Source organism: Homo sapiens, chromosome 19 (genome assembly GCF_000001405.40).
Source record: "Homo sapiens chromosome 19, GRCh38.p14 Primary Assembly".
Classification (NCBI taxonomy): domain Eukaryota; kingdom Metazoa; phylum Chordata; class Mammalia; order Primates; family Hominidae; genus Homo; species Homo sapiens.
Genome location: NC_000019.10, coordinates 43,224,159 through 43,251,425, shown reverse-complemented (window position 1 = coordinate 43,251,425; position 27,267 = coordinate 43,224,159). Strand labels below are relative to the sequence as shown.

General features: G+C 40.9%; 1 long non-coding RNA gene across 1 annotated transcript in view, besides 1 other annotated feature; it reads left to right on the top strand.

Annotated features, from left to right (window-relative positions):
- Positions 1,069–1,569: an enhancer, noted in NCBI's record as "H3K27ac hESC enhancer chr19:43754009-43754509 (GRCh37/hg19 assembly coordinates)". NCBI's record gives its function as "activates a minimal SCP1, AML or CMV promoter by ChIP-STARR-seq in primed H9 embryonic stem cells {active_cell/tissue: H9 hESC(primed)}" and the evidence as "EXISTENCE:reporter gene assay evidence [ECO:0000049][PMID:30033119]".
- LOC284344 (uncharacterized) overlaps positions 2,780–27,267 on the top strand; it is a 36,856-nt gene continuing 12,368 nt past the window's right edge. The window contains exons 1-5 of the long non-coding RNA NR_033888.1: positions 2,780–2,935; positions 3,303–3,418; positions 18,132–18,202; positions 21,401–21,502; positions 27,114–27,254. This is a non-coding gene — a long non-coding RNA (uncharacterized LOC284344). The remainder of the gene's footprint in view (positions 2,936–3,302; positions 3,419–18,131; positions 18,203–21,400; positions 21,503–27,113; positions 27,255–27,267) is intronic.

The window sequence follows — 27,267 nt, the reverse complement described above, 5'->3', positions numbered from 1 at the left end:
TTAGCCAGGCATGGTGGCGTGCACCTGCAGTCCTGTAGGGAGACCCCCAGAAACTACTGCTACAGAATAAAAGATGAAATGCTCTTGATTATTGTAAATACAAAATTGCACGCAGGATTGTGTAAACACAATGACAGGTTGGGCTGCGAGAATGAGCCTACAGCACGGGATGTGCTTCTGTTACATGGATGGGAGATAGAATTATGAGTTTAGAACATAGATTACAAATGCAACCTGATTGGAACACTTCTGATTTTTGTAAAACTCTGTTCCAATATAAAGAGTCTGGTCACAATCGGGAATCAGTAATATGCCATTTACAAGGAAGTGAAGATAATTTAAGTTTAGACATAAGCAAGCTGAAAGAACAGATTTTTGAAGCTTCTCAAGCACACTTAACTGCTTTACCCAGTGCTGAAGTTTTAGACAGTATCTCTGAGGGGTTATCTAATCTCAACCCCATTCAATAGGTAAAATCTTTGGGAGGATCCACTATCGTTAATTTTGTTCTGTGTATAATTTGTGCTGTTGGTTTATTGTTCATGTGTAAAATTGGAAAAAATGTTCTTCAATCCAATTGTGATCAGTGCCAAGCTATGATTGCTATGGTTCATTTAAATCAGAGAAAAGCAGAGATGTAGGGAGAACCCCTGAACTATTGCTACGGAATGAAAGATGAAATGCTCCTGATTATTGTAAATACAAAGTTGCATGCAGGATTGTGTAAAGACAAATGCCAGGTTGGACTGCCAGAATGAGCCAACAGCACGTGATGTGCTTCCCCCTGCAGAGAGCCTATGAACGGACATGCAGTCAGGGAGGTTTCACATTACCAAGATTCCTATCCCAGAAAAGCAGATGTCCATAGCTCTGGGAATGGAATGTGACCCTTACGGAGAGCCTATAAATGACCCTAAATCCCTCACTAACCTACCCCCACTCTCACTAAACTTAATAATAAATGCTGGTATATCCAGTGCATTGGCAGCATCGCAGGACCAGAAGGCAGTGACCCCTCTGGACCCAGCTTTCACTATCTTGTGTGTGTCTTTTATTTCTCAACCTGCCAATCTGCCTGGGAACAAAGAAAGAGCCCCGTTGCATTGCAGGCTGCTGGCCAGATCCTGCAATATAGTCCCAGCTACTTGGGATGCTGAAGCATCTGTAGAGGGAGAGCTGCCCCAAATCATAAATCACAAATAAAAGCCAATTACATCTATAACTAAATTAGTTGTAATTTTGTCTTATCACACATGTTCACAGGAAGCAATGGCCAGTGGAGTCTCTCAGACTGCATCATTCTCACCCTGACCCTCCTGCCTTCCTCTTTCACTCACAAGGACCCTTATGATGATACAGGGAGCCACCCAGATAAGCCAGAATAAGCTTTCCATCTCAAAATACTCAACTTCATCAACTTTGAACAGTGTTTTTGCCAAGAAAAGTAAATGCATTCCAAGTAAATGTGTTCCAAGAGTTAGGATGTGGATTTTTTTTTTTTTTTTGAGACAGAGTTTCACTCATGTTGCCCCGGCTGGAGTACAGTGGGACAATCTGGGCTCACTGCAATCTCCGCCTCGCAGGTTCAAATGACTTTCCTGCCTCAGCCTCCCAAGTAGCTGGCATTACAGGCGCCCGCCACCACACCCAGCTAATTTTTGCATTTTTAGTAGAAACGGGGTTTCACCATGTTGGCCAGGCTGGTCTCGAACTCCTGACCTCGTGGTCTGCCCATCTCAGCCTCCCAAAGTGCTGGGATTACAGGCGTGAGCCACCGCACCCGACCTGGATGTGGACATTTTTAAGAGGCCATTATTCTGCCTCATACAGGTCACTTTCATAAACATCACCGACAAGAAAAATGTTTTGCCTTCCTTCCATGTCTCACTTTTCTGTCTGCGCAAACCACAGTGAAACACACTAGCTCTGCTATGAAGTGGCTGGATGACCCTGGGCCACTCGTTTGACCTCCTTCAGCCTCTTTCCTCATCTGCAGTGTAAGACTGACTCTTACTGCATCAGAAAATGACAGTGGAAGAGTAAATTAACATGTGTGAGACATTAATCACAGAGCCTGGTACCTGATGAGCCCTTGGTAAACATTCCTTTCAGTTCTTTCCTTTCACCTTCCCATTTTTCTTGCCCTCACCCATCTTCTCCTTCAACTCCTTTCTCTTCAGTAACTTACTCTGTCTAACCTGCCAATTACAGAAGCCACACTACCCATTCTCTCGTGACTCTGCTGGAATGTTCTTGTGATGCAGTCTGCTATCCACTGAAGGCAATGGGTATTATTTATATAGAGAGGTCTGTTTGCAACAAGAAATCCTTTTTCTATTCACACAAAATTTATACACAATTTCTCTTAACTTACACGTACCAGTCTCAATTCTACCCTGTTATTTCATACATGTACTTCATTATTTTATTCTTTGGTCTTTCTCCTTACACCTTAAAAATTAGGACAGTACAAAAACAAAAATAATGACCTGGGCCAGAAGAGGGGATTCCTTTAGCAAGATGAATGCTTTCCTTTTTCAAGATGAATGAATGCTATGTGTAAGGCAGACCTGAAGCCCATTTCTGGGTTTGGCTTACATCAAAGCCATTTGACTCTAGGACACATTCTTAAATTCCCAAGAGATAATGATTGTCACGGAAGCCACACCCACTATGAGCATTCCTACTGTTGGGTAAAGGAATGTTTACAGAATGTTGTGCATTCTGTTTACTCCTCCTAAATTCTTCCACTCCTGGAAGTTAAGCTTCCCCACTAATCAGCTTCATCTCCAGCTGGCCTGCCTGGACCCTGACTGGAAAATACCTCCCCACTCTGGATGGCCAGGGTGGCACCTTTGTCTATTCCCATAATTATAATAGCTCACACTGATGCAGCACTCACTATGTACCAGGCACTATCCTAAGGCCTTTCCAGGTAACTACAGTCCTCACCAAAAAATCCCAAGTGCGGGCCGGGCGCGGTGGCTCATGCCTGTAATCCTAGCACTTTGGGAGGCCGAGACGGGCGGATCACTAGGTCAGGAGATCGAGACCATCTTGGCTAACACGGTGAAACCCCGTTTCTACTAAAAATACAAAAAATTAGCCGGGCGTGTTGGCGGGCGCCTGTAGTCCCAGCTACTTGGGAGGCTGAGGCAGGAGAATGGCATGAACCTGGGAGGCGGAGCTTGCAGTGAGCCGAGATCGCGCCACTGCACTCCAACCTGGGAGACACAGCGAGACTCCGTCTCAAAAAAAAAAAAAAAAAAAAATCCCAAGTGCCACCATCCCCGTTTTTACAGATTAAAAAAAAAACAACTGGGGAAGGAGCCAAGATGGCCGAATAGGAACAGCTCTGGTCTACAGTTCCCAGCGTGAGTGACACAGAAGATGGGTGATGTCTGCATTTCCATCTGAGGTACCGGGTTCATCTCACTAGGGAGTGCAAGACAGTGGGCGCAGGACAGTGGGTGCATGCACCGTGCACGAGCCGAATCAGGGTGAGGCATTGCCTCACTCAGGAAGCACAAGGGGTCAGGGAGTTCCCTTTCCTAGTCAAAGAAAGGGGTGACAGATGGCACCTGGAAAATCGGGTCACTCCTACCCGAATACTGGGCTTTTCCGACGGGCTTAAAAAAGGGCGCACCACGAGATTATATCCCACACCTGGTTCGGAGGGTCCTATGCCCACAGAGTCTCGCTGATTGCTAGCACAGCAGTCTGAGATCAAACTGCAAGGCGGCAGCGAGGCTGGGGGAGGGGCGCCCTCCATTGCCCAGGCTTGCTTAGGTAAACAAAGCAGCCTGGAAGAGGGAACTGGGTGGAGCCCACCATAGCTCAAGGAGGCCTGCCTGCCTCTGTAGGCTCCACCTCTGGGGGCAGGGCACAGACAAACAAAAAGACAGCAGTAACCTCTGCAGACTTAAATGTCCCTGTCTGACAGCTTTGAAGAGAGCAGTGGTTCTTCCAGTACGCAGCTGGAGATCTGAGAATGGGCAGACTGCCTCCTCAAGTGGGTCCCTGACCCCTGACCCCCAAGCAGCCTAACTGGGAGGCACCCCCCAGCAGGGGCACACTGACACCTCACGTGGCAGGGTACTCCAACAGACCTGCAGCTGAGGGTCCTGTCTGTTAGAAGGAAAACTAACTAACAGAAAGGACATCCACACCAAAAACCCAACTGTACATCACCATCATCAAAGACCAAAAATAGATAAAACCACAAAGATGGGGAAAAAACAGAACAGAAAAACTGGAAACTCTAAAAAGCAGAGCGCCTCTCCTCCTCCAAAGGAACGTAGTTCCTCACCAGCAACGGAACAAAGCTGGACAGAGAACGACTTTGACGAGCTGAGAGAAGAAGACTTCAGACGATCAAATTACTCTGAGCTACGGGAGGACATTCAAAGAAGTTGAAAACTTTGAAAAAAGTTTCAACAGGCAAAGAAGTTGAAAACTTTGAAAAAAATTTAGAAGAATGTATAACTAGAATAACCAATACAGAGAAGTGCTTAAAGGAGCTGATGGAGCTGAAAACCAAGGCTTGAGAACTACGTGAAGAATGCAGAAGCCTCAGGAGCCAATGCGATCAACTGGAAGAAAGGGTATCAGCAATGGAAGATGAAATGAATGAAATGAAGCGAGAAGGGAAGTTTAGAGAAAAAAGAATAAAAAGAAATGAACAAAGCCTCCAAGAAATATGGGACTATGTGAAAAGTCCAAATCTACGTCTGATTGGTGTACCTGAAAGTGATGGGGAGAATGGAACCAAGTTGGAAAACACTCTGCAGGATATTATCCAGGAGAAATTCCCCAATCTAGCAAGGCAGGCCAACGTTCAGATTCAGGAAATACAGAGAACGCCACAAAGATACTCCTCGAGAAGAGCAACTCCAAGACACATAATTGTCAGATTCACCAAAGTTCAAAAGAAGGAAAAAATGTTAAGGGCAGCCAGAGAGAAAGGTTGGGTTACCCTCAAAGGGAAGCCCATCAGACTAACAGCAGATCTCTCAGCAGAAACCCTACAAGCCAGAAGAGAGTGGGGGCCAATATGCAACATTCTTAAAGAAAAGAATTTTCAACCCAGAATTTCATATCCAGCCAAACTAAGCTTCATAAGTGAAGGAGAAATAAAATACTTTACAGACAAGCAAATGCTGAGAGATTTTGTCACCACCAGACCTGCCCTAAAAGAGCTCCTGAAGGAAGTGCTAAACATGGAAAGGAACAACCAGTACCAGCCGCTGCAAAATCATGCCAAAATGTAAAGACCATCGAGACTAGGAAGAAACTGCATCAACTAATGAGAAAAATAACCAGCTAACATCATCATGACAGGATCAAGTTCACACATAACAATATTAACTTTAAATGTAAATGGACTAAATTCTCCAATTAAAAGACACAGACTGGTAAATTGGATAAAGAGTCAAGACCCATCAGTGTGCTGTATTCAGGAAACCCATCTCACGTGCAGAGACACACATAGGCTCAAAATAAAAGGATGGAGGAAGATCTACCAAGCAAATGGAAAACAAAAAAAGGCAGGGGTTGCAGTCCTAGTCTCTTATAAAACAGACTTTAAACCAACAAAGATCAAAAGAGACAAAGAAGGCCATTACATAATGGTAAAGGGATCAATTCAACAAGAACAGCTAACTATCCTAAATATATATGCACCCAATACAGGAGCATCCAGATTCATAAAGCAAGTCCTGAGTGACCTACAAAGAGACTTAGACTACCACACATTAATAATGGGAGACTTTACACCCCACTGTCAACATTAGACAGATCAATGAGACAGAAAGTTAAGGATACCCAGGAATTGAACTCAGCTCTGCACCAAGTGGACCTAATAGACATCTACAGAACTCTCCACCCCAAATCAACAGAATATACATTTTTTTCAGCACCACACCACACCTATTCCAAAATTGACAACATACTTGGAAGTAAAGCTCTCCTCAGCAAATGTAAAAGAACAGAAATTATAACAAACTATCTCTCAGACCACAGTGCAATCAAACTAGAACTCAGGATTAAGAATCTCACTCAAAACCGCTCAACTACATGGAAACTGAACAACCTGCTCCTGAATGACTACTGGGTACATAACAAAATGAAGGCAGAAATAAAGATGTTCTTTGAAACCAACGAGAACAAAGACACAACATACCAGAATCTCTGGGATGCATTCAAAGCAGTGTGTAGAGGGAAATTTATAGCACTAAATGCCCACAGGAGAAAGCAGGAAAGATCCAAAATTGACACCCTAACATCACAATTAAAAGAACTAGAAAAGCAAGAGCAAACACATTCAAAAGCTAGCAGGAGGCAAGAAATAACTAAAATCAGAGCAGAACTGAAGGAAATAGAGACACAAAAAACCCTTCAAAAAATTAATGAATCCAGGAGCTGGTTTTTTGAAAGGATCAACAAAATAGATAGACCGCTAGCAAGACTAATAAAGAAAAAAAGAGAGAAGAATCAAATAGACACAATAAAAAATGATAAAGGGGATATCACCACCGATCCCACAGAAATACAAACTACCATCAGAGAATACTACAAACACCTCTATGCAAATAAACTAGAAAATCTAGAAGAAATGGATAAATTCCTCGACACATACTCTATTCCAAGACTAAACCAGGAAGAAGTTGAATCTCTATATAGACCAATAACAGGAGCTGAAATTGTGGCAATAATCAATAGCTTACCAACCAAAAAGGGTCCAGGACCAGATGAATTCACAGCCGAATTCTACCAGAGGTACAAGGAGGAAGTGGTACCATTCCTTCTGAAATTATTCAACCAATAGAAAAAGAGGGAATCCTCCCTAACTCATTTTATGAGGCCAGCATCATTCTGATACCAAAGCCTGGCAGAGGCACAACAAAAAAAGAGAATTTTAGACCAATATCCTTGATGAACATTGATGCAAAAATCCTCAATAAAATACTGGCAAAAAGAATCCAGCAGCACATCAAAAAGCTTATCCACCATGATCAAGTGGGCTTCATCCCTGGGATGCAAGGCTGGTTCAATATACACAAATCAATAGATGTAATCCAGCATATAGACAGAGCCAAAGACAAAAACCACATGATTATCTCAATAGATGCAGAAAAGGCCTTTGACAAAATTCAACAACGCTTCATGCTAAAAACTCTCAATAAATTAGGTATTGATGGGATGTATTTCAAAATAATAAGAGCTATCTATGACAAACCCACAGCCAATATCATACTGAATGGGCAAAAACTGGAAGCATTCCCTTTGAAAACTGGCACAAGACAGGGATGCACTCTCTCACCACTACTATTCAACATAGTGTTGGAAGTTCTGGCCAGGGCAATTAGGCAGGAGAAGGAAATAAAGGGCATTCAATTAGGAAAAGAGGAAGTCAAATTGTCCCTCTTTGCAGATGGAATGATTGTATATCTAGAAAACCCCATTGTCTCAGCCCAAAATCTCCTTAAGCTGATAAGCAACTTCAGCAAAGTCTCAGGATACAAAATCAATGTACAAAAATCACAAGCATTCTTATACACCAACAACAGACAAACAGAGAGCCAAATCATGAGTGAACTCCCATTCACAATTGCTTCAAAGAGAATAAAATACCTAGGAATCCAACTTACAAGGGATGTGAAGGACCTCTTCAAGGAGAACTACAAGCCACTGCTCAAGGAAATAAAAGAGGATACAAACAAATGGAAGAACATTCCATGGTCATGGGTAGGAAGAATCAATATCATGAAAATGGCCATACTGTCCAAGGTAATTGACAGATTCAATGCCATCCCCATCAAGCTACCAATGACTTTCTTCACAGAATTGGAAAAAACTACTTTAAAGTTCATATGGAACCAAAAAAGAGCCCACATCGCCAAGTCAATCCTAAGCCAAAAGAACAAAGCTGGAGGCATCACACTACCTGACTTCAAACTATACTACAAGGCTACAGTAACCAAAACAGCATGGTACTGGTACCAAAACAGAGGTATAGATCAATGGAACAGAACAGAGCCCTCAGAAATAATGCCGCATATCTACAACTATCTGATCTTTGACAAACCTGAGAAAAACAAGCAATGGGGAAAGGATTCCCTATTTAATAAATGGTGCTGGGAAAACTGGCTAGCCATATGTAGAAAGCTGAAACTGGATCCCTTCCTTACACCTTATACAAAAATCAATTCAAGATGGATTAAAGACTTAAACGTTAGACCTAAAACTGTAAAAACCCTAGAAGAAAACCTAGGCAATACCATTCAGGACATAGGCATGGGCAAGGACTTCATGTCTAAAACACCAAAAGCAATGGCAACAAAAGCCAAAATTGACAAATGGGATCTAATTAAACTAAAGAGCTTCTGCACAGCAAAAGAAACTACCATCAGAGTGAACAGGCAACCTACAAAATGGGAGAAAATTTTCACAACCTACTCATCTGACAAAGGGCTGATATCCAGAATCTACAATGAACTCAAACAAATTTACAAGAAAAAAAAAACAACCCCATCAAAAAGTGGGCAAAGGACATGAACAGACACTTCTCAACAGAAGACATTTATGCAGCCAAAAAACACATGAAAAAATGCTCATCATCATTGGCCATCAGAGAAATGCAAATCAAAACCACAATGAGATACCATCTCACACCAGTTAGAATGGCAATCATTAAAAAGTCAGGAAACAACAGGTGCAGGAGAGGATGTGTAGAAATAGGAACACTTTTACACTGTTGGTGGGACTGTAAACTAGTTCAACCATTGTGGAAGTCAGTGTGGGATTCCTCAGGGATCTAGAACTAGAAATACCATTTGACCCAGCCATCCCATTACTGGGTATATACCCAAAGGACTATAAATCATGCTGCTATAAATTCACATGCACACGTATGTTTATTGTGGCACTATTCACAATAGCAAAGACTTGGAGCCAACCCAAATGTCCAACAATGATAGACTGAATTAAGAAAATGTGGCACATATACACCATGGAATACTATGCAGCCATAAAAAATGATGAGTTCATGTCCTTTGCAGGGACATGGATGAAATTGGAAATCATCATTCTCAGTAAACTGTCGCAAGAACAAAAAACCAAACACTGCCTATTCTCACTCATAGGTGGGAATTGAAAAATGAGATCACATGGACACAGGAAGGGGAACATCACACTCTGGGGACTGTTGTGGGGTGGGGGGAGGGGGGAGGGATAGTACTGGGAGATATACCTAATGCTAGATGACGAGTTAGTGGGTGCAGTGCACCAGCATGGCACATGTATACATATGTAACTAACCTGCACAATGTGCACATGTACCCTAAAACTTAAAGTATAATAATAAATGAAAAAAAAGGGAGAGAAAGAATAAAATGGAAATTAAGGTAAAAGGATATATATATATATCTGCATCCTCTGGTGCATTTCAATCAAATAGCATGTGGCTGTCTACATAAGCAATCTAATTGTTTTGGATTAAAGAAAAAAATGATGGCTATATACATCCCTCTAATAGAATTACAGTTCCTCATCAGGTTTGTTCCTGTAGCTCCTCATCCTCATTAATAGCATTTTTGCATAGTCTGTCCTTATATAGCATTAAAACTGCCATCATTAGACTGGTAAAATTTTCTGTGCCTTATACCTGTGACTTTTTGGATTTGAGTAGATTGGACATTCTCTTCAGTCCTCCCCTCACCCCATGAGATTCATTGGAAAGAAACAAAAAGGAATGAATTTGAAAGAAGGAATTTATCTTTTCTTTTAAAATCGTAGTATAAGTATATTTTCGTCTCATTTCCTTTATGAAACCAATCCAAAGCAAACAAGAGAAGGAGAAACAAACAAATGTTATCTTTGATGAAGCTACAGATCCCCTATAACACTGGATCACTGTAGATGCAGGAAGACAGCCAAGTGTATGAGAAGTGGATGGAGGTATTTGGGAACTCCAAGAGAAGGTGTCTTTCTATGTGTGACTCAGGCACAGTTGACCCAGCTCATAGTTATCCAAAGTGGATGGGTGGCACACATTGAAAGGAAATGTGTCTATCCCATGCTTAGAAAGTTAAGATCAAGGTTCATGGCCTGGTTTTGGAAGCCTACATCATGTTTCAATCATGGTATAGGATAGAAGGAAGAGTCAATAAGATAAAAGCTACCTGGCCGTCTTTGCCCAAAGCTGCCTGGTGAAGATAAGTGAAGGTAAAATAATCACATTAAAATGTTCTGTAAAATGCACAACCTCCTTGTGAGCCTGGAAGATGTCCTGCTATGCTGGACCAGATAACCCACAGGCCAAGTCCAGCTGAGAAACATCCTAGAGATAACAGATTGAAACCCAATCTTCCCATTTGTTTAGCACATTCCTCTTCCCCTTTCACCAGAACTTTGCCCAAAATTCTAGTCCAAAAAGATGAGGAACAATGCTACTTAAAAAGGGTGGAGCCAGCCGGGGGCCTTTAAAATGATGCTGAAATGAAAAAAGAAGAACAGAACATGATTTATGAAGATGAGAAACAGAAAGATTATATACCACAACGCAGCCAAAAACCATGAACAAAGTTATTTCTAAGGAATCAATTAAAGACAATATTGTTTCTCTGAAATGAGAATTTAAAGAAGCAATATAAGGCTTTAAGGAAGAACTGATAATACATTAGGTTAGACGGGAATGAAAAGTGGGTGGGTAAAGCCTCAGAAATAAATTAGTAATAAATGAGAATGAAAAGGGAGTAGACAGAGTCTTGGAAACAAATTAGAAACAAATGAGAATAAAAACAGAATAGGCAGAGCCTCAGAATCTCAGAGAGAGACACACAAAAAGAGACTAAAATCAAAGGTCATGATAGAAGCAGCAAAAGGGAGATGAGACACCACTGAAGGAATTCAAAGGATGGTTTTGAGAAGAAAAAATGAGCATGTGAGATGGAAAAGAACAAAAAGTAAAAGACGGAAGACAGAGATAGAGAAAAAGAGGGGGATGGGAGGGGTGGTAGGGAAGAGATCAAATATCATTAACACCAAATGCCTTGCATGGGTTAAAAAATGAATGGAACATGAAAACAAATTTTCAAAGATACAATTCAAGGTGAAATTCCTGAAATACAGTGAAATTTGAATCTGCAGACAGAAATAGCCCAAGAATTACAAGGCTGTGTTTATATTGAATAATTAACAAATACCCCAATAAATTCCTGGTATTTGAAGTTATGGAAAGAATTCTGTGGATATTCAGAAAAAAAAAACCTAGGAGGCTAAGATTTCTTTATGTGACACATGAAATGCTAGAAGACAGTGGGGCAAGATATAAAAAGTCCTTGTCCCTTTTGTGTTGCTATAAAGAATACCTGAGGCTGGATAATTTATAAAGGAAAAGGGATGATTTGGCTTATGATTCTGGTGGCTGGAAAGTTCAAAATTGGGCATCTTCATCTGGTGATGGCCACAGCCTGCTCCCACTCATCGCAGAAGAGGAGGGGAAGCCAACATGTGCAGAGATTACATGAGCAAGGGAGCAAGAGAGAAACCGGGGCGGTGGCCTGCTCTTTTAACAACCAGGTCTTGCAGGAACTAATAGAGGAAGAATTCATTCACCATCAGGAGAGGACATTAATCTATTCAATGGGAGGGATCTGTCCCTCCCATTTCTCCAAAGAAGATGTACAAATGGCCAGCAAGCATATAAAATATTGATCAATATCACTAATCATTAAGGAAATGAAAATGCAAACCACAATGAAATTATACCTTATGCCAATTTAAATGGCTACTCCCAAACACAAAGCAAAAACCCCAGAAAATAATAAGTGTTAATGAGACTGTGGAACAATTGGAACCCCTGTGCACTATTCATAAGAATTAAAATGGTGCAACCACTGTGAAAAACATTATGGCGGTTCCTCAGAAAACTAAAACTAGAGGTACTGTATGACCTGGCCATTCCACTCCTGGGTATAAACCCAAAATAATTGAGAGCAGAGACCCAAACAGGTTTTGGTACCTCAATGTTTATAGCAGCATTATTTACAATAGCCAAAAAGTGAAGGCAACCCAATTGTCCATGGATAGATGAATGGATAAACAAAATGTGGTCTATCCATACAGTGAAATATTATTCAGCCTTCAAAAGGAAAAAAATTCTCACATATATTACAACATGAATGAACCTTGAGGACATTATGCTAAGTCACAAAAAGATACACAGTGTATGATCTCATTTATAGAAGTCCCTAGAGCAGTCAAAATCATAGAGACACTGAAATAGTTGTTACCTGGGGTGGGGAGGAGGAAGAATGAGGAGTTAGTGTTTCATGGATATGAATTTTCCCTGTTACAAGATGAAAAATACTCTCTGAAGATGGGTGGCGCTGATGGTTGCATAATGCAAATGTATTTCTAAACGGTGCACTTAAAAATTTTTAAGATGGGGTCAGGTGCAGTGGCTCATACCTGTAGTCCCAGCACTTTGGAGCTAAGGCAGGTGGATCATTTGAGTCCAGGAGTGCGAGACCAGCCTGGGCAACATAGGAAGAACTCGTCACTCCCAAAAATATAAAAATTAGCTGGGCATGGTGGTATATGCTTGTGGTCCCAGCTACTCAGCAGGCTGAGGTACGAGGATTGCTTGAGCCCAGGAGGTGGAGGCTACAGTGAGCCATGATTGAGCTACTGCACTCCAGCCTGGGCAACAGAGCCAGACACTGTCTACAAAATAATAATAATAATATGGCAAATTTTGATGTGTGTTTTATAATACCACCATTAAAAAATTAACACTGCTCAGCCTTGCCTCACTTCTGTACCTCTGCTCACTTTCACTCTTCCTGCTTCCATATCCTTGCTTTTAAATTCTACCAACTTTTTAAGGTCTAGTCCAACATGACCTCCTCCATGAAATAGTCCTTCTTGCAAACTGTGGAATGGAACTCTACCTTCTCTGAACGGCAATCAGTTTACTTAGGTTTTGATAGCCCTTCACTCACAAGTCCATATTTAGCGCTGCTCCAGGCAGGTCACACCACCACCCCTAGTGGCCCCACAAGACTATGTGTTCCCTAGGGGTAGAAGTCATATTTCCCTCCTCTCTTCGTCTGCCAACTGACTTATACATACATAATAAGCATTCGAGTTGAATAATTTGATAGTTATTTTCCTTTTTGTCAGAACTTTAGGGAAGATACTGGAATTGTCTCCGGTGCTTCTAAGGCTTTGCATTCTTTCATCATTGGACTATATATGGTTTCTCAGATAGCAATTTACATTTTGCAGAAAGACCTCAAACTCGCATAAAGCTCTTTGAATGAATCCAGATAAGCTGCTTCCTAAAGAAAGAACCTCCTGACTTCCTAATACTCCTTTCATACCCTAATCTTTAAACAATGTTTCTAGCAATAATTCCATTTTCCACATATGTAGCAGAAGATCTGAGTATCATCTAAAGATAAAATCACTATTTTTCAAATTTTATTAGGTTTCTGCTTAATGGAGAATTATCGCTGTCAGTACATCAGATCTAAACATATGGTCATTTAAACGAATAAAAGGCAAACCTTTCATTATGTTCTTTATGTTGTGATAAGTTGTATATGTTTGTATAGAAAATTTTGGGAAATGAGCAAAGTGTTTGGGTTGGATCGACTATTTCATATCAGTCTTTGTTTGTAAGCCACATTATTGTTAAGGAGTCAGTCAGAACCACCCTTTTTGGTAATTTTACCTGGCTCATACTTGGCAGATCTGGCTGTGAGCAGGGTTTAAAGTTGGCTTACTATATGGAATTATTTTTGGGACACCTTCAATGCACTCTACACTGAGCTAAAGCCAAAAAAAATATGAGGCTTAGCTCCTGACTCTGGTCAATCTACATTTGCTACATCCAAAGCAAATAATTTCTTTTTATTTATTATTACATAAGGAGTTCATTCTTATTATAAAAAGCATGAAACCAGCAGGAGCGGTGGCTCACACCTGTAATCCCTGCACTTTGGGAAGCCAAGGCGGGTGGATAACTTGAGTCCAGGAGTTCAAAACAAGCCTCAACAACATGGTAAAAGCCCATCTCTACAAAAAATACAAACATTAAGCATACATGGTGGTGTGTGCCTGTAGTCCCAGCTACTCAGGAGAGTGAGGTGGGGGGACTGCTTGAGCCTGGGAGGCACAGGTTGCAGTGAGCTGAGATTGCACCACTGCACTCCAGCCTAGGCAACAGAGTGAGACCCTATCTCAAAAAATAATTGGCTAAAACCCTTGCTGTCTTTATAATTTATTCCTTCTCTTCTTTTTTTTTTTTTTTTCCATGACAGCTGCTTCAGGACAAGAAAGTTCTTTTGGTCTCTCAGTTGGGGCCACTGTCAGCATCATGACTGGTGTACTGGCCAGAGTTACTCTCTTTATTATACCAAACTCTTATCAGAGTTTTAGCAATAGTCATTTTACATGTTGGTAATTCACAGATAGTTGTTTTGATTCTTCCTGAAAGCATCTGCAATCAGCTACAGTCCAAAATTGCTTCTATTTCAAAAGATTTATGGAAAAGATACTGACAAGTACTCTTGCATACAAGTTTCTGAGCAGTTCAAGGTTATATCACTGGACTGTCTATAGACTTCCAAAACTTTAACAAACAGGTTGATGCCTTCATGAAATATGCCCACTGAGACCAAGCAGAACAAATATAATTTCATTGAAATAAATGATAATGTGGATAATGTTTTTATAATTTTTATTTGAAAATTTGCTGATTCTTTAAATGATTTTTTCCAGATTTATGGAATTTTTCTTCTTTTAAGCTATCTATATCTAAAGCAATTTGGTAAAGTATACTTTTGGAAACAATAATTGAAGCCCATTTATTTTTGCTCTTTTCCTAACTGTCCCAGGATTGGGAAACTATTCATGAGTATTCATATGATTATGCTAATACAGTTATTTGCACAAGTTTAGTAAGAGTCTTCTCTCTTTACAAAAGGACACGTTTCAAAACATTGGTTATATTACCAAGGCTTTGACTAAGATGTTATATTTGAGAATATACATAGAATGGACCCATAAGTACTGCATGCAAAGGCTGAAGATGGCCTTCATTTGGCTTCCTCATCTCAAGAGGCTTGTAAAAGTTTAATCTGAGACTCCTTATAAAAACTTCTAGGGAAGCAAACTTTAGGAAGAGCCTCTGTGGTCCATTGTTACTCTTGATGCACTTATGTAAAGAATCCCGGCAAAGTCTGATAAGACTAAACCTACTTTGGAAACGAATTTGTCCTACTGGGATTCTCTTTGGTAAAAATAGATATGCCTATAGAGAGAAAAATAATGTTGAAAATAAAAAGTGTAGTATACCTGCTATGAAATTGCAGCTCTGTTCATTGTTTTTGAGTTTTTATTATTCACCGGTAGACTGGACTAGACCCTGAATTCTTCTATTTCCTCCCATCCAGTTTTCTCTTATTGAATCAGTAAGAACAAAATCTGCTTTGTTCCTGAAGCCCTATAAGTTGGAGGTGGAAAGCTCAATGTAAATTTCACGGGAAAACCCTCGTGCCTGAGGTATGAGTCACTCAGAGCTCACCAATATGTTTGACACCATAACTACAGACACTCAAACTTAAAACCAGGATAAGAAGTTGACAACTTCACACTGTCAAAAGCTTTTCCCAAGTTGTCAGAACAAGTCTCCACATCAAAATCAGGCTCTTAGCCCTCTTAATTTGTCCATGCTTATGCCTGCCTCTTTCACGTGGCACGATGATGGTATCATTAGAATTTCACATGAAGTAGCTTCTGAGAGTAGCGTAACAGAGTGACAGATATATCATGTCACCCTCAAATTTTTACATAAGATATCATTTAGTCCACCCAACGGCTGACATTAGCAGCATCTTTAACACACTTGTTTCTTCAAATGTACAGTGGTCCCTTTTAAAGTTACATTTTCAGACTCACTTGTTCTCACTCCCTGTTTTAATTTAATGAGCCGTCGAATGCTACATAATAAAATTGTTCCCTACCAGCTGAACAGGGAGGAGCCTGTGCAGTTTCTGACACTGACTGTTGCACATAAAGAAATACATCGAGTATAATAATGACTCAATCACAGAAGTTACCAAACATACTACTTGGTTAAAATTGCTAGACTCTTCTGGCTCATTCTTTGATCTATTCTATTTTACTTGGTTTGCATCTTGCCTAAAGTGCATACTCCAAACTTTTGGTGTTATCCTCCTGATAGTCATACTAGTAGCATCTCTGGTGTGATAAATTCTATAGGTTTTAAAATTCTATATTTTGGTGTGGTGAATTCTACAAAAGTTTTTAAAAAGTTTTGTGTGCAGCCATCAACAAATACCAAAGGGTCTCTCTTTGGCTGAAATGACAAAAACTCAAAGAAATGTGTGATCAGGAAGACATCATAAACTTATAAATGATGGAAGCCCAATATGATGGTTACTGAGATGAATGCCAATGCTTTAAATTTTGGTCACACTCTCACCTAAGTGAGAGCCTAGAGACTCCAAAATAGAACCACTCCTGCTAAATGCTACAGTCTACAACTGAAATTTTAATGAAGCAAAGAGATACCAGAACAGACCTTTGTTTTTTGTTGAAAAGAGGAGATTCCACTCTACCTGAGATAGCATAATAAAAGTTTCCTCTGCTTTAACTTTTACAGAAAAGAGACCTGAAGTACCCTAATGTTCACCAATTTATTTATTTATATGGCTTTGTTTACTGGTTCCCACTTGACAAAACCCACTGTTTTGTTATTGTATAGCTCAGGGAGGGCTGTCACTATATTTGTAGAGTGAGAGCTGCCTCAAATAATAAATGAAAAATAAAATCTATAACTACATTAGTTGTAATTTTGTCTTTTGATGCATGCTCACACCCAGCATTGGCCAGTGGAGTCTCACAGGCTCATCATTCTCACACTGACCCCCCTGCTTTTCTTTGTCACTTACAAGGACACTTCTGATTACAATGGGCCCACCCAGATAATCTAGAACAACGTCCACATCTTAAGATTTTAATTTTATCACCGCTGCACCATGTTTTTACCAAGAAAAGTAAATGCACAGGTTCCAGAGCTAGGGTGCAAACATTTTAGGAGTCCATTATTCTGCCAACACAGGTAACTTTCATAAATGTCACCCACAACAAAAACTTGCTTTGCCTTCCTTCTGTGTCTCACTTTTCTGTCTGTGCACAAACGTCAAGGTAAAAGACACAAACTCTATGAAGTAGCTGGATGACTCTAGACCACTCATTTGGCTCCCTCAGCCTCTTTTCTCATCTTCAGCAGAAGGGTGACACTTTGCGCATCAGAAAATGAAAGTGGAAGAGTAAATCAAAATGTGTAAGATATTAGTCACAGAGCAAGGTACCAGATGAGCCCCTGGGTAAACTTTTGTTTTTTTTTTGGGATGGAGTCTCACTCTGTCACCCAGGCTGGAGTGCAATGCTGTGATCTCAGCTCACTGCAACCTCCACATCCCAAGTTCAAGTGATTCTCCTCCCTTTAGCCTCCTGAGTAGCTGGGATTACAGGTGTGTGCCACCACATCTGGCTAATTTTTGTATTTTTAGTAGAGATGGGGTTTCACCATGTTGGTCAGGCTGGTCTCAAACTCCTGACCTCGTGATCTGCCCACCTCGGCCTCCCAAAGTGCTGGGATTACAGGCGTGAGCCACCATGCCCAGCCGATAAACATTTTTGTCAGAACTTTCCTTTCACCATTCCATTTCTGTCACCCTCACCCATCTTCTCCTCTGACTTTTTTCTCTTCAGTGACTTACTCGGTCTAATACACTGTTTAGCATCAAAAGCCACACTACAAATTCTTTTGTGACTCTCTTGGAATGTTCCTGTGATGCCCAGAACCTTGGAAGCCTAAGCCTTACATCAGTGTGCCCTGAATATGAGATATGGGGTCAAAGGAGATTATTTCGGAGCTTTAAATTTTAAAGACTGTGCTGCAAGGTTTCAGACTTTCATGGGGCCTGTATCTTATTTCCTTCAGCCTATTTCTTCCCTTTGGAATGGGAGTATTTACCCAATGCCTATACTTCCATTGTGTCTTGAAAGTAACTAACTTGCTTTTGAATTTACAGGCTCATACGTAAAAGGAACTTGCCTTGTCTCAGATGAAACTTGCTATTTTGGACTTCTGAGTTAATGCTGAGTGAGTTAAGACTCTAGAGACTGTTGGGAAGCCATTCTTATATTATTAAATGTGAGAAAGACATGAGATTTGGGAGGGATGATGGAGAGAATAATACTTTTTTGGAACTTTACCCCCACCTAAATCTCAAGTCAAATTGTAATCTCCAAAGTTGGAGGTGGAGCCTGGTTGGATGTGATTGGATCATGGACGTGGTTTCTCATATTTTAAGGCCCTTCTCCTTGGTGCTGTTGTAGCAACAGTGAGTTTTTATCTGTTTGTTTACCAGTGTGCAACACTTGCTCTCTTCCTCCAGCTCCCATTATATAAGATGTCTTCCTCTACCATTGGCTTTCTCCGTGATTGTAAGTTTTCTGATGGCTCCTCGAAAGCTGAGCAGATGCCAGAATCATGCTTACTCTACAACCTGCTGAATCATGAGACCATTCGACCTTTTTTCTTTATAAATTATTCAGGTTCATGTATTTGTCTGTAGCAATGTAAAAACAGACTTACACAGCCTTATTCTCAGTAGAAAAAAAACTAGGGAGTAAATCATTCTAACTATGTACCAGATGCAAAGCCCAAGACAAAGAACAGAGCTATGAAGAAAATGCCTGGATAATCCCACCTCTCCCAGCATGGCCAAAAGGCACAGCTGGAGGATGGGATGGGTTTTGTCCCCAGTTCTTACTATGGTCACTCATCTAGAACTCAGAATTTAAAGCTTCAAATATAAAGACATAAGCTCACAGACAAATTAAGAAAATGTATATATATGGAAGCAACTCTTTGATGACCTTAAAACATCTAGTAAAGACAATATAAACCTGCCTGCCAACAGACATAGGCAAAAACGTATAAATTAAATTATGAAGACATTTCTACTTTATTTTACCAACAATTTTAAAACTATCTATATTCACCAAAGGTTACTAAAATCACATGTATAGAAAAGCATTTGGGCTTATTCACTTAATTTGTATGTACCCATTTATTTTTACATTAATTTGATACTATGTGTCAACAGTATATAAATGTGTGACATAAACATGTATGTGATAAAATATATAACATATATATGTTCACATAAAGATAGAGACAAAAAGATTTTAGAATTTTGATTTTAGGGCTTTAGGTATGACATCAGTAAAACCCATCATTTTAAAGGATAGTTGGATTCAAATTGCTTTCTTGTAAATGGTAAAGGTTAACATTTATCTGAGGAGGGCTTTACCAAGTTTTAGAGAAAATACATAGCACATTTACATCTCAAAGCAAAGAGAGAGAGAGAGAGAACTTAAGCTTTTTCAAGAAAAAATTTGGTGTGTTCAAGGAAGATTAAAAAGATGCCAAGGTAACACAAAAATAATAGAAATTTACCATGGGGTTTTATTTATTTCTTATTAGACTTTAAGTTTTAGGGTACATGTGCACAATGTGCAGGTTAGTTACATATGTATACATGTGTCATGTTGGTGTGCTGCACCCGTTAACTCATTATTTAACATTAAGTATATCTCCTAATGCTATCCCTCCCCCCTTTTCCCACCCCACAACAGGCCCTGGTGTGTGATGTTCCCCTTCCTGTGTCCATGTGTTCTCACTGTTCAACTCCCACATATGAGTGAGAACATGCGGTGTTTGATTTTTTGTCCTCGTGATAGTTTGCTGAGAATGATGGTTTCCAGCTTCATCCATGTCCCTGCAAAGGACATGAACTCAACATTTTTTATGACTGCATAGTGTTCCATGGTGTGCATGATCCACATTTTCTTAATCCAGTCTATCATTGTTGGACATTTGGGTTGGCTCCAAGTCTTTGCTATTGTGAGTAGTGCCACAATAAACATATCTGTGCATGTGTCTTTATAGCAGCATAATTTATAATCCTTTGGGTATATACCCAGTAATGGGATGGCTGGGTCAAATGGTATTTCTACTTCTAGATCCCTGAGCAATCACCACACTGACTTCCACAAGGGTTGGAATAGTTTACAGTCCCACCAACACTGTAAAAGTGTTCCTATTTCTCCACATCCTCTGCAGCACCTGTTTTTTATTTAGAGACGTAGCTTTTAATTTGGTCTCTGTTCTTCAACTGAATCACTGTGCTCAAGATAGAGCCCATTAAGGAAGAGGGCCAACAAAGTCTTTTCAATTTTTAGATTCTAATCATTTAAATATGTAAAAAAGAGAACCAGTTGGAAGGGACAACATTTAGACATTAAAAATCAAGGATTTCACTGAATCCCAGGTCCCCAAGAAGAGGAAAATGCAATGGGGACCATACTTTGCAACACTTCCACAGAGTACTTTGCTACAAAGGTATTTCCTTAATTGTTTAAACTGTGTCTTTTGCATCTAAACATACAAAGAAATGAGTAGTCCTCTGAAGCTAGAATAATTTATTATAACCACTGTTAGTCACCTTCAAAACCATAGCTCCTATCACTGACCCAGCAACCATTACACACACAAGGTCAAATACTTTTACAGTACAAAGTAATGTAACAGGCAAAGAGGTCAGGTAACACAGTGGAGAAAAGAGCAGAGTTTTAGACCTGAGAGAAATCCGTTCACTTGCAACTCTTGGGGTTCCATGAGAAAAAAAACTATGGTTACTCCCCTACAGGAGAGTCTGTGTCATCTTTTCTGTTTTCCTAAAGGGGTCCTAATACAGGAGTTATCGAGAAATTATTTTTAGGCAGCTAGAAAGGGTAAAAGAATTCTTGGTGGAATTTTCCTTTAATAAAAAGCAGCCCCCAAACCATTTCTAACAGAAAACAGACTGAATGATCAGGCTGCAAGCACAGATATGCATATATAGCTGCAGGCAACTAAGAGCCAGGTACTCCCAATATGGCGGTTCCTGCCCTTTTTTCCTTGTCACCACATGTGCAGGTGTCATGGTGACCACCAGGTAGAAGTCACATTTGCATAATAAAAGATTAGGGTGGGAGGGCCAGTCTTTTCTCGGGCTATTTAAACGGCACACCTGGTCAAAACAATCCCCTGGACCCTATGTAAATCAATCACTGCCTCCTTAAGTCTCTGTACAAAATCAATTACATTCCACCCCAAATTGGAGACCTTCTCTTGGGTGACTGTTTTCTCAATATGAGAAAGCTTTTTCTCTCTCTCTTCTTTTTTGTCTGTTAAATTTTTCACTCCTAAACCCACTCCTCATGTGTTTCCATGTCCTGAATTCTTTTTCAGTGTGTGACAAAGAACAATGGATAGATTACCAAACAGAGCCATTTTATTTGGGAGTTCTCATCTGGGATTGTGATCAGAAGAGAAGATAGAAACATCAGAATGGTGAGTATGGAGCAAACCTCAAATCTGTCCTTTAATTTCAAGGTTCTCTTCCAACTAGTTTCCTTTCATGGAGAACCTCACCATCACATGAGGCTGGGGGATGTCCTGGAGCAGCTGAGAATTTCTGGCCAGGACACACCCTGATGTTATTCAAAGGCCTCTGGACTGAACACAGCCTCCGACAGCCCATCCAGATGTTGGTAATGGGTCTCCTAATTTGCTATCCTGTTGCAAATTTGTTCTTCCTTTCTATCCATTGTCTCTATGTCTCCTATTCTTTCTGTGTATGCAATATGTAGAAATTTTTACAGTTCAGGGAAACACTTCTGTTAGGAAGGATCGGTACATGCTATAATAACTAACCCAATAGGTACCTCCCTCTCTCTCTGTCTCTCTCTCCTTCCTTTGGTAAGCACATGGTATTTCTAAGCCAACAGTGTCACCTAGTGGAAACAGAAATCCTCCTCATGAGGCACATCGTTGGTCCTTTGCCATAACACTGCACTTTTCCAATTGTCTCTTTTTGCACTGATAGAAAAGCCCTTTCTGTGAATGGGAAAACTCTGCTTTCAACAGTTAGAGGTAAAATGTCTTCCATAGCCAAATTTTAGTTCCAATATTGTCCCATCAGCAGGAAAAACTGCCATTAGGTCCCTACGTTCATTTAAGGTACTTATTCTATCTCCAATTAGAACAGTATTTAATTAGTAAGGATATTTTAAGAACAGAGTTAACCAGGACCACTTTTCTGAGGGTAAATATTTTAGCACGGGCCATAACTGGCAACTGGCACATTCCCTCTCTTAAAGAAAGCTTGCTCAAAGGCAACTGCTACAGTTTCTCCAGAGATCCATTTTTCAGGAAGCCAGGCAGATCACAGGCAGATAAGCTAAGGTTGCATGGGTAAAGTGTGGCTAATCCCATCACTTCATTTATCCAGTTCCATGGCTTACAGGGCCACACCTACAACCATGGGCGGCACATTTAAGACAGTGCCAGGACTCAGGAACCAAGGAGAGAAAACATTTGGGGGGACGCTCCCACTGTCTTCCACTCCACTGTGGGTCACAATGAAAGAAGGAGGACTATAAGGACACTTTCATTCTCACTTCTTTTTCTAGATGGCTAACAGAGCATCTTCAGCTTGCACCCCTCTGGAGTGCACTCTGAGGCACTAGAACTCTTTTAACCTCAGGACTTTCAAGAGAAAAGCAACTCATTCTATTTTGTACAATGACAGGGCATTTTTACTAAACCTTTACAAGCATTGTAACAGCAACCCAGATTTTTTTAACAGCCATATCAGGAAGGCCTATAAAGAATAATCCCCTCATATTAGAAAAGCAACTTCCAAGGGAACCATCTGAGAAGAATCTCCATAATTTGGGGTCCCTCCAAGTTCCCTTCTCATTACAGGACCTTAGGCAAATAAAGTAAGACTTAGGCCAATTTTCAGACAATCCTGATAGGTATATAGAAGCTTTCCAGAATTTAAGTCAGGTGTTTCGCCTCACATGGAAGGATGTTATGCTGCTCCTAAGCCAAACCCTAACTGTAGCTGAAAAACAGGCAGCTCTGCAAGCAGCAGAGAATTTTGGAGATGAGCAACATATCTCCTATAATACACCAAAAGGGAAGGAAGGAGATACAGAAAGTGAAGAAATAGCAGAAACACCACTCCAAATAAGAAGTGAAGCAGTACCTCTTGACAACCCTGATTGAAACCCCAATAGCTCTGCAGATCAATGGAAAAGAAAAACTAAGGCCAGACCTCTTAATTCTTCTAAACTGTCTATGATAGACTCAAAGCCAGATGAGAATCCTGCAGCCTTTATGGATAGGTTGAGAGGGGCACTATTAGTGCACACCTTTTTATCTCCTGATTCAGTCAAGTGACAGCCCATTCCAAAAGATAAGTTTTATTATACAGAAAGCTCCCAATATTAGAAGGAACCTATAAAAGGCAAGCTATAGTAGCAGATAGCACCTTGGAAAACCTTCTAAGGGTAGCCACTTCAGTCTTTTATAATAGGGACTAGGAGAAGGCCCAGAAGAAAGAGAGAATGCTCAAGAGAAGGACAAAGCCTCTAGTAGCTGCTTTGCAGAGTTGCAAGTCCAGGATCCCAGAGGTGTATCCACTAGTTGCTCTCGGTGTGGCAAGCCAGGGCATTTGAGGAAGGAGTGTCCAAACAGCAAGAGGAAGCCACCTTGACCCTGTCCAGCCTGTGGTGGAGACCGCTGGAGATGCAACTGCTCCCAGAGATGGAGGTCACTGGGTTCAGAACCAGTCTCACAGTGGTCCAGCAGGACTGATGGGTCCTGGGGCTCAAACCCCTGGCCCCAGCAGCTCAAACTGCCATTACAGCACAGGACACACAGGTGATTCTGGAAATTATAGGAAGGAAAGTAGACCTCCTTCTAAACACTAGATCCAGTCTCTCTCTTTTCTCCTTTCTTATCCAGGCCTCCCCTCTTCCCATAGCACAACCATAAGGGGTGTCTCAGGAAAAATTCTAATCCAATATTTTTCTCAACCTCTTATTTGCAGTTAGGAGGACCTATTTTTTACATCTGCTTCCAAACCACTGTCACAATAGCTCTACTAATCAGAAAAGCCTCCAAATTAACCCTAGGAAAAAACGGTTTACACCTCCACTTAATGTGGCAAAATTACTTTCCTCTAGAGGGAGCTCTTAGCTAACAATCAGCTGGTAAAGCAAGAAATACATAAGGTAGGATAAGCAGTAGTCACTCTAAATAACATCTCTCTTCAGGTGCAGATGCTCCATCAGCTAAACAAATAGTTATTAAAATAACACTTAAATTAAGCAAGGGAAAGGTAGCTAACATTTACACTGATTCCAAGTATGCTTTTTGAGTTCTTCATGCTCATGCTGCCATTTAAAATAAAAGGCATTTTCTTACCACCAATGGATTTCCTATGAAATATCACCAAAAAATTAACAGGTTATTATCCTCAGTTTTCTTCCACGTGAAGTAGCAGTGATACATTATAGGGAACATCAAAAAGGGAACAGATGAAGTAGCCAAAGGAAATAGGTTCGCTGATCAGGCAGCTAAGTCACTGGCAAGGCATCAACACACCTCAAAGCCTTCTAATCTAGGAAGACTCCATAAGATAAATTAAACCTCAGTACCTTCCTGCAGAAATAAAATAGGCCACTTCTCAGGGTATTCTTTCCAGTCCTCAGAATGGCTGTAGTCAGAGGATGGCAAACTCCATTTGCCAGCCTTCAGCCAATGGGAAGTCCTTAAAATCCTACACCAAGCTTTTCACCTAGGAAAGGATAGAACTTATCAATGTGCTCACAGATGATTTTCATATAGAAAATCTCTAAATTGGTTAAGCATGTAACCTCTCTAGCTCACTTCCAACAGGAATTGACACATGTAGCAAAAGCCCAACCCCAGGAAATAGGACCACCCTTATTTAACCCAGATTTGGTATTAGCAGAAACTCTCTTCTCTCTCTCTCTCCCCTTAAGTGGTTAAAATGGCACTATATATATATATACATATATATATATATATACACATACACACACACACACATATACACATATACATATATATACACATATACATACACACATATATGTGTATATTTATAGACATATGTATCTACATATTAAATTTATATGAATATATGCTCACATCTAATGAATATAAGTATGTATGTGTTTCTATATATACACTCAACCACAATTTTTTGAAAAGTGTTTGGTGAAAAAAAAAACCCACTATGTAAAACACACCCACCCTAATCAGATAGCCCTTATATACTTCCATGCAGACCTCTCATGACATTATCTGCAGACAGGTTCAAGGATTTAAGGACATGAAACAGTCCAGGAAACAGCACATGCACAACATAAATGTATTTGCAGAAACTGAGAGCTAACCTGGAGGCACGAACCTCGGCACTGCCAGGACACATACCCTTCCCCATGGATTCTGACTTTATCTGACCCAGCCCACTATCCAGATCTTGTTGTGGGGCTGGGGTAGAGAAAGTCACAAAGCCTGTTCCCTGGACACTCTGTGTGACACTCAAGACCACCCCCACCCCATCATTAGGTCTCCCCACACAGGTCTGACCATCAGGCATCATGAGGAGGACTCCAGCATGGGCTCAGAAATCACACAAAAGAGTTAGCCACAGAGAGAAACGCTGAGCTAGAAAAGCTGTTTGCTGACATGGGACAGGGTCCCAGTAGTTCATGAGTCCAACTCGGTCTGAATTTCCCTCACTTCATAAGCCAGGCACCCCTGTGAAACAGCTTTTTCCCACGGTCTCCTCTGAGGTAACACATTAGGGTCCCTCACTGTCAAGATTCCAGAGATGGAAGAAACCTGGACAGCACACATCCCAGCTTCACCCTTCCTCTCTTTCTCCCTCCCTGCCAGGAATCAGGGCTCAGGGCTCAGGAGGAAAGGCACAGCCCAGTGAGGCCAGAGTTGGTGAGATGTCTGAAAGGTGTTCAGTGAAAAAAGTGCATCCCGCTTTCATTCTATCTGATGAGCCCTTTCCTGCACAGCTTCCTCCACCCTGAGGACTTCCCCAGACACCCTCTCTAACAAAGCTGACTGTTCCATTTCCTTTCTGCTCACACTGAGGCCCGTCCTGCCTTCTGGTAAATGAAAAATGCACCAAAATCAGCCAAAGCAGCCACCCCTGCCAGGCTCCATAATAAGGCAATGTCCCCGGGTCAACAGGAGAATGAGCTTCCACTGTGTCCCAGTCCAGGGCTTTTTCCCTCTGAGAGGCTGACTCATGAAACAGGCCACCAGAAAGAGATCAGTGGCTCCTCCATCCATTCTTATAATCACCTGACATGTTCTTGCCCTCTGCACAGGCAAAGCCAATTTATTGAGAAGGCGATGTGCAGTAAACAATGGTTTTACTTAGCCCAAGGCTGCCAAACAGGAGGATAGAAGTTTATCATGACTCAAATGAGCTTCCCCAATGGCTCAGAGGTTAGAGTTTTTCAAAAACTTTGAGGGGCAAAGTTCTAAGGAATAAGTACTGTTGACTGGCTAAAGATGAAATGATGCCGGTAGGGGAAATGGTCTGTATTTGTTGAATCTGCCTCTGAGTGGGGGCCACATGACTGTTTGAGCCATTGGTCATGAGTCTAGATGAGGTCAGCAGGTTGCTGGAATGCAAAAATCTGAGAAACATCTGAAAAGATAAATCTCAGATTCTACAATAGTGTTGCTATCTATAGGAGCAACTAGGAAATTCACAAATCTTGTGACCTCTGGACACATGACTCCTGAGCAGTAAGGGATTATAGAAACTATGCCTGCATTTTAGCAGAATTTGGGCCCCTCCATAATTCATGGTCTTTTCTTAGACTTACCAAGATAGTCCCCGACAAGGAGGGAGCTAATTTTCAGGAGGGACTATTATCACCGTTGCTTCAAAGTTAAACTATAAATTCCTCCCATGCTTACCCTGGCCTATGCCCAAGAATCAGAGAGGACAGCCAGCCTGAGGCTAGGGGTGACATGGGGTCAGCCAAGCTAGCTTTCTCTCATCATCATATGCTTTGCAAAGGTGGTTTCACTTTCTACATTGACTCACCAGGGGGTCAGAGGCAGAAGGACAGATCTGCAGTTTCCAAAGCCCACGGGCTCATTTCACCCATTTCACTCATGACTCCATCCTCAACCTGCTGTGGCGCTCATATCCTCCAGTCATGCCCTAGAGACTTCGAATTTCCATCAGGTATGTAAGTAGC